The sequence below is a fragment of the Homo sapiens genome, chromosome 3, assembly GCF_000001405.40.
Source record: "Homo sapiens chromosome 3, GRCh38.p14 Primary Assembly".
NCBI classification, from domain to species: domain Eukaryota; kingdom Metazoa; phylum Chordata; class Mammalia; order Primates; family Hominidae; genus Homo; species Homo sapiens.
In genome coordinates this window covers 136,043,509-136,056,656 of record NC_000003.12, presented here as the reverse complement: position 1 = coordinate 136,056,656, position 13,148 = coordinate 136,043,509, and the positions used below count along the sequence as shown (strand labels likewise).

At 41.7% G+C, this 13,148-nt stretch overlaps 1 protein-coding gene and 1 pseudogene across 9 annotated transcripts in view; both read right to left on the bottom strand.

Annotated features, from left to right (window-relative positions):
• Positions 1-13,148, bottom strand: part of PPP2R3A (protein phosphatase 2 regulatory subunit B''alpha) — a 182,167-nt gene that overhangs the window by 91,238 nt on the left and 77,781 nt on the right. For all 9 annotated transcript variants that reach the window (XR_001740196.3, NM_002718.5, XM_017006787.3 and 6 more), the window contains one exon: positions 7,296-7,398. Coding sequence is in view for 8 of the 9 variants with exons in the window: in NM_002718.5 (NP_002709.2) it covers positions 7,296-7,398 (103 nt within the window). In the remaining variant the exon portion in view is untranslated. The remainder of the gene's footprint in view (positions 1-7,295; positions 7,399-13,148) is intronic.
• DONSONP1 (DONSON pseudogene 1) lies at positions 893-1,470 on the bottom strand (annotated as a pseudogene).

Here is a 13,148-nt window from a genome sequence, read left to right as displayed (position 1 = left end):
CACGCAGCCTTACCCCTATGTTTTCTTTACAGTTTCAGGTATTACATTTAAGTCTTTAACCCATTTTCAGTTGATTTTTATATACGGTGTAAGATAAAGGTTTTGTTTTACGGTTCTTATTGTATATAACCTTCCTTAATATAGTACTTTTTAAAATAACTGGTTTTTTTTTTTTAGAATAGTTTTAGGTTTATAAAAAAATTAAGAAAACAGCACTGAGAGTTCCCATATACCCTGCGCCCAGATTCCTCAATTATTAACACCTTACACTTACTATATGGTCCACTTGTTAAAATTAAACTGATATTGACACATTATTTTTAAAGTCCATACTTTATTCACATTTCCTTAATTTTTACCTGATGTCTTCTTTCTATTCCAGTGTTCTATCCAGGTCATCATATTCTATTTAGTTATGTCTCCTTAGACTTCTTTTGGCTGTGACAGTTTCTTAGACTTTCCTTACTTTTGATGACCTTGACAGTTCTGATGAGTACTACTCAGGTATTATGTAGGATATTTCATTACTGGAATCTGCCTGATGTTTTCCTCATGATTAGACTGGGTTTATGGATTTTTGGGAGAAAGGCCAGAGAAGTAACATGTCCTTTGCACCATATCTTGCCAAAGGTACATACTAACAACGTGATTGATGACTGCTGATGTTGGCCTTGATCATCAGACTGAGGTAGTATCTGTCAGGCTCCTCCACTGTAAAGTTACTCCCCACACCCTGAAATCACTATGCATAGCCTACTCTTAAGGAATGGTGATTTACGCTCCCCTCTTTAAGACTGCAGTGTCTACTAAACTGTTTGCAATTCTGCATAGATTTGTTTCTTCTCCCCAATCATTTATTTATATCAGTATGTGCAATTTGTTTTTAAAAAATTCTCATCACCACATTCCATAAAGATGATTTCCCAAGTAGTGGTATTTCTCTAAGTTGCTCCAGAGTCTTAGGGTGCAAACCACAGTTAGTAAGCTCCTTATGAACAACCTCTGTATCAAGTACTTTGTCCATTGGCAGGCAGGTGTTAAATACAGCAGTTGGCTCGTGTGGATACAGTACTGCAGAGAAAGACCCGCTCTGTGAAGATTTGAGCAGCATGGTCAGTGAATGCAGAGAATGAGGCACGATAGAACCTGTAATCTCCAAACTAAACTGGTCTCTGTATCCAGAAAGAGCTGTGTCTTCACATTTACACTTTGTGCCTTAAGCATTTGCATTATGGCACCTCGGAGAGCAACAGGGGATAAGAGGGTCAGAGGAAGTCCTACCTGTGGACCTGAGGTAGCAACTAAACTCTTAGAGTTGATCAAAAAATTGAGCAATGTAAAGATGTTGATTCCTTTCACCAACACAACAGACTCAGGTCTGTGATCCATTTGTACTTCATGTTTCTTTTTACGCAGCTTGATAGAAAGTATGTCTGGCTTTTTAATTTTATCTTGCACAGTCATCTCTTCTATATTTATAACTGGAGATCCTGAACACCAAAGTAAGCCTAAAAGGAATCTTTGAGGAAAAAAGCCTTGTAGCAAGCAAAGTCAAAATTCTTGAAGTTAAGGAAATATACTTTAAAATATTGAAATGTTTATAAACATTAACTTTTATTACATGCACTGAGCAGTAGCATTTTAAGGTTTTAAATCAGTGTTTTCTGCTTTTACTATTTTCAGATTAAATTTTTAGATATAAAGATAAAAAACTCAGAGAACTCAAATGAGATATCTATATCCCTACAACCGAATTATATAGTGAGTAGAAAACTGAATTAATGCATTTCTTTGCAAACAGGAAATTGAGACTAAACACACAGCAGCTATCTCATGGCATTCTGACCAATGGCATCAGGGCAAAAATATGTTACTTTACCATTTACCTAAGACTGTTAGCAGGTTCTTGTTTTACAAAGGTAGAAAATAAATGTAGACAACATCTACTGAGCTGACTGATGATGCCTTTACCTGAACATCTTTCCTACTGATTTATAATTCCTTTATTTTCACATATACTAAATATTTTTAAATGCATGTTAATTCAGATAAAAAGGCATTTTGTATTCCACATAGAATAGCGTTAAGAATTGTGAAGTAGGCTGGACGCGGTGGCTCATGCCTGTAATCTCAGCACTTTGGGAGGCCGAGGTGGGCGGATCACGAGGTCAAGAGATCCAGACCATCCTGGCCAACATGATGAAACCCCATCTCTACTAATAATACAAAAATTAGCTGGGTGTGGTGGCGCGTGCCTGTAATCCCAGCTACCTGGGAGGCTGAGGAAGGAGAATTGCTTGAACCCGGGAGGCGGAGGTTGCAGTGAGCCAAGATCGTGCCACTGCACTCCAGCCTGGCGACAGGGCGAGCCTCCAACTCAAAAAAAAAAAAAAAAAAAAAAAAGAATTGTGAAGTATACCGAGCTGTCATGGCAAAGTAGTATTTAATGTGCTTATAGGTGTATGTGTATGTGTGTAGGGGGAATTATATAATTCACATTTTTAAAATAAAAGTGCTTAGAAATAAAAAGCACTGGGTAAAGAAATAATAGTATTTAAGTATTTGTTCACTTTATAATCCAGAAAATAAAACACCACGTTTATTTCCCCCCCAAAAAAATTCTCATTTCTTCTGTTTCCTGAATTAGTTTTGTTTCTTTTCTGGGCTACTTTTTCTGTGTATGTGTTTTTTTAACCTTTATTTTTCTTTAATGATGATCATTTTCCTCATATACCTGGTTGTCCATTCATGTTTAAGAAGGACAAGGTAGTTGATATAATTTGATATAATTTTCCTCTGTGGAAATATAAGTAGGTCTATTTTTCAACAGGTATCTTTCTTGAGTACCAAATCTGCCTCGGGGTTCTGTGCATTTAGGGTGGGTGTGTTGATTGACAGGCATTATTTTAGAGTAAACTGGTGAGACCTCCCGGGATCTCCAACTGCCAGAATAAAGAGAAATAAGGAGAATTTTAATCTGTGGCTGTCACATTAGAAGCCTTAGCATGCTTTATTGTCTTGTTAGTGTGTTTATGCTTGTGAATAAATGTCAGGCTGCACTTTATATTTGTGAACCAGGAAAGGAGTCAACTAGTGATTGTTGTGTATACCGACCTTCAGTGAATCCCCATTTCCAGTATCTCTCATTGGGTCAGTCAGTCCTGAATTTACAACTGCTCTGGGCCTTGATGAGCACAGGAGCTCACTTCACCACTTGAGCCCACACACAGCTCCTGATTCTGGGTTGTGGTTTTCTTAGCCTACTTCTGGTCACTTATTTTTTTTTCTTTTTTTTTGATCCATATAAATCCATTTATTATTAAACTATTTATTTACAATTTTAAGATCACAGAATCTTTTTTAAACTTTTATTTTAGGTTTGGGAGTAAATGTGAAGGTTTGTTACATGGGTAAACTCATGTCACAGGGCTTTGTGGTACAGATTATTTCACTACAGGTACAGGTATTAAGCCCAGTACCCAATAGTTATCTTTTCTGCTCCTCTCCCTCTTTCCACCTTCCACCCTCAAGTAGACCGCAGTGTCTGTTGTCTCCTTGTTTGTTTTCATAAGTTCTCACCATTTAGCTCCCACTTATAAGTGAGAACATGTGGTATTTGGTTTTCTGTTCCTGCATTAGTTTGCTAAGGATAATGGCCTCCAGCTCCATCCACAGTCCCACAAGACATGTGGTCACTTTCTATCTTAAAGAAATATGTTAAGATTTCTTGTACGTTGATTTTCTCTACCATTTCATTGGCTTCCGTGGATTTATTCCTTTTTAATTTCTACACTTTAACTTCAGAAGGGCTTGGGAAAGAATGGGAGGATAATGTCTCTATTTAGTTTGTCTCTTTTACCAGAAGACTCCACAAGTCCACTTCTTAAATACAAATAAGATTTCTCCTTAGATTTAAGGGAAGTATAAATGTCTGTTAACTCATAATTATGATTTTGTTGTTGTCTGTTTCTAATTTTCTTAGTCTAAACTTAATTTACATTCCTGTCAAAGCTTTTATTAAAGCTCTGATAAAATTCAGAACTGCATCAGTCAGCATAGGGTCCCCACAGGAAAAAGAATTCACTGTATGAAGCTTTCACGAAAAGATTACATGTGGAGTTGTGAGCAGGATGAAGGGAGCAAACAAGGGAATAATGAGGCACCCAGAGACTACTGACAGGAGGATACTGTTATAGTCCTGAGGGCCAAAGGAACAAGGGGAGGAGGAGAGCCTAGTAGGCACTAGGACCACAGACAAGGGGCTGTCCAGCAGAAGCTGTATTGTAGAGAGACATAGTTACTGTGCCGAGGCAGAGAGCAGGGAAGAAATGCCAGCTTTTCTTTCCTCTGTCCTCCCATTTACTGGCAATGCTTCCCACTGCCCAGATCCAACCAAAAGCTAGTCAGCAAGAGAGCCCCAAAGACGCACTTTGTAGGGTCAGAGCAAGGCCAAGAATGGATTGAGAGAGTGAGGATGGAGAGCAGTAGAGAACTGGTAATAAAACCTAATGTTTTATTACAATGCAGTTCAAATATTGAAGATTTGAGATTTCACAAAACATAGGAATATTTAATGTTGGATATTATCAGGTAAAATGGTCTTAATTAAATGCCAAAAACTATTAAGAATCTTCATTCTCATGAGTATTTTTTTTAGGGGAACAAAACCATGTAGCAGGTGAGTCTAAGGATAATCAAAGCCATTATGCAAATTAGACAAGCCCAAGGGCCCTGAGCATAAAATAAAATCAGAACCAAACTTCACATTTTAAACATGGAAGATTGTTACTATAATTAAAAGTCTATGTACTATGGTGTTATTAGTCAGGGTAGTGGTTATTGTTGGGTGGCAGTGACTGGGATGGAGCATGACAGGCTTTGCAGGTGCTGGTAATACTGTTTTTGGATCTGTGTGCTAGTTATACGGATATGCCCACATTGTGAAAATTCATTGACTAGGACACCTGTGATTTGGGTGTTTTGTGTGATTATATTTCAGCAAAAATCTTTTTAAAAAATCATGGCATGGCCAGGTGTGGTGGCTCATGCCTGTAATCCCAGCACTTTGGGAGGCTGAGGCAGGTGGATCACCGGAGGTCAGGAGTTCGAGACCAACCTGGCCAACATGGTGAAACCCAGTCTCTACTAAAAACACAAAAATTACCCGGGTGTGGTGGTGGGTGCCTGTAATCCCTGCTACTTGGGAGGCTGAGGCAGGACAATCAATTGAACCCAGGAGGCGGAGGCTGCAGTGAGCCAAGATCGCACCATTGCACTCCAGCCTGGGCGACAAGAGCGAGACTCCGTCTCCAAAAAAACAAACAACAACAAAACATGGCAGCCATGAATACAACTTAAAAAAACCTCAACTATTTCCATGTATTTTATGCCCTTCTTTAGGTATCCATACTAAGAGCTAACAAGGATTTACTGTAACACCTAAAATAATGATGCACATTCAACAGGCAGGAAAAGCTTATCTTAGCTTCAAAGAATTTGTGATCTGCTTAGAAAAACCAAATATTTAGATACGAAAACAAGAATATTAACAAGCAATATCTCAGGCTATGAAGAATGCTATAGTAGAAACAGGTGCAATACTGATATGTAACTGATTCCCATGGGAAGGCCTAGATAGAAACACTCCCCAGGTGGGCTCTTTCTGTTAGACATCTCTCTCTCTCTAAAACCTTAACAAAGGTCAACTAGGCCAAATGACTGTGGACCCTGCATTTAAGCCTACAATACGCACAGTGCCATAAAAGCCATGAAGATTTTGAGGTCACTTCTCTTCTCTGCCCTGAAGTAGTGAGTAGGGAGCTCACCCCTACTTGAAAGGGAAGCAGACAATACAAGCAAGGAGAATTGAAGGCAGAGATAGGAAAGCATAAGGGAACATGGCAGCAGGAGATTTCTGCAGAGTAGAAGACCTCTTAGTGTCAGGAAAAAGAAAGAGAAGTCTGTGGGTGATAGGAGCAAAGGGACCCTGCTGCCTGGCAACACCCTAGGGGTGCAGCTAAAACCTTAAAAGAAAACAGCTGTGTGTGCATCTAGGCAGACGGGCCATGGGTATCTTCACCAAAGGTTCTGGGGCTTGACACGTGGCACAGAAGCAGCAAAGACCTCTGGATCTGAAGGGAATCTGCTAGCCAAAGATGGCTGATGTCTCAGCAGTAACTCCCAACCCTAATGCTTTGGTACCGTGTAAGACCTCAGAACTGTGGCACAGCTCCAGGCTGAGAAACCTCAGGAAGGTCTGAGGTTAAAAATATCCGCCAACCTGGTAAACGAAGGCTAAAGTTAGAAATTCAAATCCAGAAACTTATACTTCTGATAGATCTGACGTTTATTCAGGTCTGAGACTTATCCTTTTTTTACATGTATAATATATGGATATACAACACACAGAGTTTAAAATTTCATACACAGAAAAGGAAAAATGAGAAGTACAGTGCCATTGTTTTATCTGGTTCCATCAGTGAAAGCTGCTCCCTATAAATGAGTTTTCTAGATAAGTACATATAGAGTCTATGCTACTAAAATAAATTACTAATCTCAGCTGAAATCTGGTAATGGGATTGGGACTACTGCCATTATCCTAAATTACTCCCACACTAGAGTACATTTAGAGCTTCTGGGTCTTTTTTTTCTCTTAGTGTTTCTTACTCTCCTCACTACCTTTGTAGTCTGGTGGTGTAGTCTGTTTTTTGCAGCTCTCCATGCACTTGATTCTAGTTATCCTCTTTCCCTTCTCCTATTCTAATTTTCTGTTTCAAATATATCTTGGGTTGAAGAATCAGGAAACCAAGCATTTAAAAACTGTACTTAAATAATGGGTCAGGAGGCAGTGAGTGAAGACCCCAGAGTTCGTGAGAGTGATCCTGGTTACATCATGACCTTTTCTTTCTTTCTACCAGGTTCTTAGCTATGTTCTACGCTAACAGAGAAGTTATCTTCTTGCATTCTATCATTTCAGAAGGTGCTTCAGTGATTGCTGTGGGTGGGCAAGGGGGAGGATGAGTGGCCCCTCTCCTCTGCTTCAGTGGGAGTAGCCCTGAAGGAGTAGCTCTTTTACTACTATGGGTTCTGTTTTAGATTTCATTTAACGAGATTTCATTTAACGAGATTTCATTTAACGAGAGGATCTTACTGCTAAAACAAGTTTGAAAACCACTCTTCTAGAATCTGATATCTAGATCTGTGTAGCTCAATTGACATGTTATAGTTGTAAATTTTAAACAAAACTGCTGAAACTCCAAAATTAGAACCCATTTTCAAAAGGAGATGAAAATTACCTGAAGTAGAGGGATGAAATCCTCCTGTTCTAGAGAGCTGCAGTTGGGCTTTGCTAGAAGACAGATGAATTTAGAGGCATCATCATGATGGTTATTCAGCAACCTATAAAAGAAACAACTGCTTAGGAAGATTAGTTCCTCTGAACAAACAATGACAATAACATCAATAGTTAGTAATTTCAGTTTGATCTGAAGGCCACTCAGATCAACAATCAAGTAAGGAATTTACATAATCAAAGGATGTTTTAGAATGATGAGCTGTCTATAAGGTTGGATGAGTACTGAAGTCTATTAGACCCTCTTCCCTTCCAGGGGTCTCAGCATGAAGTAATAAGGCCTTGACCTTGATGGTAAAACGGAAACAGGAAGGAACAGCTGTCTAAAGCATTTTCAGGAAACATTCCTCAGGACTCCAGTAACCTCATCTAGTATTCCAAGCACCCAATGGTTCAAGCTAGAAACTTGGGAGTCGTCATGAACTTCTCCCTTCCTTTTACCCCGACACCTATCAACTACCATGTTGTTTCATTTCTACCAAATTTGCCTCTTTCTGTCTCCCACTGCCAATATCCATGCTTAGGCTCTTGTTTGTTGCTTGATATTTCTGAGTAACATATTTGATCACGTCATTGTCCAAATTAAAATTCTTCTGTCAAGTAGGCTAAAGTCCCAGCTTTTTTTTTTTTTTTGAGACGGAGTTTTGCTCTTTTCACCCAGGCTGGAGTGCAGTGGCACAATCTCAGCTCACTGCAGCCTCCACCTCCTGGGTTCAACCAATTCTCCTGCCTCAGCCTCCAGAGTAGCTGGGACTATAGGCGCATGCCACCACGCCTGGCTAGTTTTTGTATTTTTAGTAGAGACGGGGGTTTCACCATGTTGGCCAGGATGTTCTTGATCTCCTGACCTTGTGATCCGCCTGCCTCGGCTTCCCAAAGTGCTGGGATTACAGGCGTGAGCCACGGCGCCTGGCCTAAAGTCCTAGCTTCTTGACCTGACATAGAAGGGCCTCCAGAATCTGATCCTACCTGCTCATGTCCCCTTCTCTTACCATTCCTGCACTTGTGGTTGCACAAATGTTCCATGCCTTCTCACACCAGGCATTTGTAAATGCTACCGTCCTTACCACAATACCCTTTTCCCTTACTTCACCTTCCAGGAACTCTTGCTGGCCTCCTGTGTCCTTCCATGTGCTTATTATTTCTGTCATGGCTGTTCCACAATAGCATAACCTTATTGGAATAACTTTTTTTTTTCAACTTTTATTATAGGTACAGGGGTACATGTACGGGTTTGTTACAAAGGTATACTCAGTGATGTAGAGGTCTGGAGTATGAACGAATCCATCTCTCAGGTAGTGAGCATAGTACCAATAGCTAGTTTTTCAGCCCTTGCTCCCTCCATCCCTACCCTTTCTTGTATTCCCCAGTGTCTACTGTTCTCATCTTTTTTTTTTTTTTGAGACGGAGTCTCGCTCTGTTGCCTACGCTGGAGTGCAGTGGCGCAATCTCAGCTCACTGCAAGCTCTGCCTTCTGGGTTCACGCCATTCTCCTGCCTCAGCCTCCCAAGTAGCTGGGACTACAGGCACCCGCCACCACACCTGCCTAAATTTTTTTTTGTATTTTTAGTAGAGACGGGGTTTCACTGTGTTAGCCAGGATGGTATCGATCTCCTGACCTCGTGATCCACTCACCTCGGCCTCCGAAAGTGCTGGGATTACAGGCGTGAGCCACCACGCCCGGCCTGTTCTCATCTTTATGTCCATGTGTACTTGATGTTTAGCTCCCACTTACAAGTGAGAACATATGGTATTTGGTTTTCTGTTTCTGCGAATTTGCTTAGGATAATGGTCTCCAGCTGCATCCATGTTGCTACAAAGAACAAGACTTCATTCTTTTTTACGGCTGCTTAGTAGTCCATGGTGTACCTGTACCACATTTTCTTTATCCAGTCCACCATTGATGGGCATGTATGTTGATTCCATGTCTTTGCAATTGTGAACAGTGCTTCATTGAACATATGGGTGCATAAGTCTTTTTGGCAGAATGACTTATTTTTCTTTGGGTATATACCCAGTAATAGAACTACTGGATTGAAATGTAAACTCTGTTCTTTGAGAAATCTCCAAACTGCTCCATGGAGTTCAGCCATGTCCACCTCTTTAGTGAGACTGGGGAAATTTCCGTGGACTATATCCTCATACGTTTTCCAAGTTGCGTACTCTCGCTCCTTCTCTCTCAGGAATGCCAATGAGTTATAGGTTTGGTCTCTTTACATAATCCCATATTTCTGAGAGTTTTCATTTTTTAAAATTCTTTTTTATTTTTGTCTGCCTGCATTGATTCAAAGGAGTGGTCTTTGAGCTCTGAGACTCTTTCCTCAGATTGATCTGTTGTTATTAATGCTTCTAGTTGTATTATGGAATTCCCGTAGTAAATTTTTCAATTCTAGAAGTTCAGTTTGGTTCTTTCTTAAAATGGCTGTGTCATCTTTCAACTCTTGGATCATTTTACTGTTTTCCCTGGATTGAGTTTCAACTTTCTCCTGTATTTCATTGAGCTTTCTTACCATCCAGATTCTGAATTCTGTCATTTCAGCTGCTTTAATTTGATTAACAACCATTGCTGGGGAGCTAGTGAGATCATTTGGAGGTAAGAACACACTCTGGGTTTTAGAATTGTCAGAGTTCTTGTGCTGGTTCCTTCTCATCTGTGAGGGCAGGTGTTCCTTTATCTTTTGATGTTGCTGTCCTTTGTCCTTTGGATGGAGCTTTTTTGTTTTTACTTTATTTCCCTTGAGGGTTTGACTGTGGTGCAAGCTGAGTATAGCCAATTGGCTTTATTTCTGCATGCTTTCAGAGGGCCAAGGCTCTGTATGGAATCTCTTCTGGATTTCTTTTTTTTTTTTTTGAGATGGAGTTTCACTCTTGTTGCCTAGGCTGGAGTGCAACAGCGCAACCTCGGCTCACTGCAACCTCTGCCTCCCAGGTTCAAATGATTCTCCCGCTTCAGCCTCCGGAGTAGCTGGGATTATAGGTGCCCATCACTATGCCCGGCTAATTTTTTGTATTTTTAGTAGAGATGGGGTTTCACCATGTTGGCCAGGCTGGTCTCAAACTCCTGACCCTCAGGTGATCCACCTGCCTCGGCCTCCCAACGTGCTGGGATTACAGTTTTCTGTCTTTCTTGAGACAAAGCCTGGCTCTGTCACCAAGGCTGGAGTACAATGGCGTGAACACAGCTCACTGCAGCCTCAACCTTCTGGGCTCAAGTGATCCTCCTGCCTCAGCCTCCCAAGCAGCTGGAACCACAGGTTCATACCATCATGCCTGGCTAATTTTTTTGTAGAGACAGAGTCTTGCCATGTTACCTAGGCTGGTCTTGAACTCCTAGGCTCATGCAATCTTACTGCCTCGGCCTCCCAAAGTGCTGGGATTACAGGTATGAGTCACTGTGCCTGGCCTGTATGGGATCTTTATTTGTGGCCAGAATCCTGTACTGGGTTTTCTCAGGCAATTCATGCTGGAATTTTTTGGTGCTGTAATTCAAGCTGTAACCTGGGAGATGGCATTTAATAGTAAGGGCTACCAGGTAGACTGCAGGTTAGGGGTATGTCTGTGGGTGGTCTGTTCATGCAGTAGGTCAAGGGTGAGGGATCCCTGGGTAGGGTGATGCTGCCTTGGCCGTGCAGCTGGTGTGGTGCCCACAGCCTAGGTTTTTTTGGCCAGCAGATAGCAGTGAGAACTTCCCAGCTTGTGCTTCCTTGACAGGTCTCCTGGTTACTGCCCAGAATTTGGCCCAACCAGCTAGTTTGTCACAAGACTTCTGCACCCAGATCACTGGGCTATTAGGTGTTCCAGACTGCCAGGCTCCCTTGGGTAGAGGTTGTGGCCCAGTTCCTGTGCCAGCCCATTAATCCATACCTCACTTTTCCCAGTGCTCTGAGAGTAAGGGCTCTTCCGCCACTTGAGTTCCAACCACAAGTCTCAGCTTGGCACTCCTGGACTGTGTGCTCTAACCCTGGGGGCCTGGGACCAGGCCTGTAGCTTAGTTCTCTGGCTCCCTGAGGTCGAGCACCAGCTGTGCTGGGTGAGCCAAGGTGCTCCCAGGCCACCAGTAAAAGCGCTCCACTGGGGGCCACTGGCAAAAGCGCTCTCGCAGGGGAGTGGAGGCTGTGCTGTGTGCCTGCTCCTATGGGAGAAGCCAGACAGGAGCCCTGGGAGGGGCTGGTGGACAGGGGAGTGCATGGATCAGATACGCCCTGGTCCTGTGGGAAAGACAGCCCTGCTCTCTCCAGGTCTGGCAGTCAACAAAGGTTAGAGCCTCTTAGAGGAATATGGAGAGCCTTGGGGGATAGGTGCCTATGGTTGTGTTTTGTTGCAGCTGTTCCCATGCAAAACCCCATGGGCTCTGTGTAGCCTCGAGCTCTGTCTCTGCCAGCTCTCCAAGCAGTTTTCCCTGCCAACTCAAACGTCCATGGTGGCTGTGGGATCTCTTGCAGCTAGAATCCCAGATGTCCACAGTGACAGTGGCCTGCTCTGCAGTTACTTCTTTCACCCCTTCCTTAGGAGCCATTCAGAGCCCATGCAGGGTTCTCAGTTTCCTCCCTCTTCAGCCTCAGTGACTGCATCATCTCTCCACTGACTCTCAGTGCTTTCTCTTAAAAGGTCTGTTCAAAGTATGCTGGTTTACTCAATATTTTGGTTTCTCTTGGTAGGAAAGAGAAGCTCTCCCTGGCTGTGTCTTCTTGGCCATCTTAACATCCTTGTCTTTTTTTTTTTTTTTTTTTTTTTTGAGACAGGGTCTCATTCTGTTGTCAAGGCTGTGGTGCAGTCTCATGATCATAGCTTACTGCAGCCTCAAACTCCTAGGCTCAAGCGATCCTCCCAAGTAGCTAGGATTACAGGTGCAAGCCAGCACACATGGCTTGGTGTAACTCTTTCACTAGACTGTAAGCTCCTTACAGGGTATAAAACTGTCTTACTTTCTTTGTATCCCAACCGCCCTCAAGACCAGACACAATACCTGGCATATAGTTAGCATTCAACAAGTGATTAAGGAAGAAAAATAAGAAAATGTTTTTGATCAAACAGATGTATACTTCATTTGTGCTTATTAGAGCTATACTATGATTTTTATACTTATTCTCCATAACATTCCTCAACATGCTTAAGGCTCCTAAAGTTAAATAAACACATGTTTCAGAAAAAGATTCACGCAATAGATGCTAATAGGAGCCACCTCTCAGGATTAGAAAATGGGTGGGATGATCACAATAGAAAAACAGTGAGGTCTTTCAAAAGAACTACTTATATATATAAAACAGAATAGTAAGATATAAAAACAGCAGAGACATGACAGATGAGAGCTACTCTGAGAGGACAAAGTGAAATCAGAAATGGTCTTTTGCTGTGAAATAGAAAGAAAAGGTGAATTACAATTTTCTGCCAGTGTTACTGGCTGGTCAACTCTATGGCAGGAGAAAAGATGATAAAAGTCATGAAAGCTAAAGAATGAAGGTAAGCATAGCTATTCTAAACTAGCATCTTTCAGAACTTTTAGGACAAAATGTTATTTTGTTAATGGACAAATGATACATTGATATGAAAAGGTAAAAGAAAGTAAAGCATAATAAAGCTGAAGCAATATTATTGATTCCATTTGAGATGAGTTCTGCCCAAAAGCTGATACTCTAGGACCTCAAAAAGAAATGCTATGGAGCAATGTCTTTCTCCTAAAAATGTCCTGACTATAAGAAGAATATATGTCAGAGTATAGACATGAAATGGGCAGCGGCACAGGGAAAGGAAGTGGAACAGAGCCCTTTGGAGGAGAGATACTGAGGCCTCCACCCCA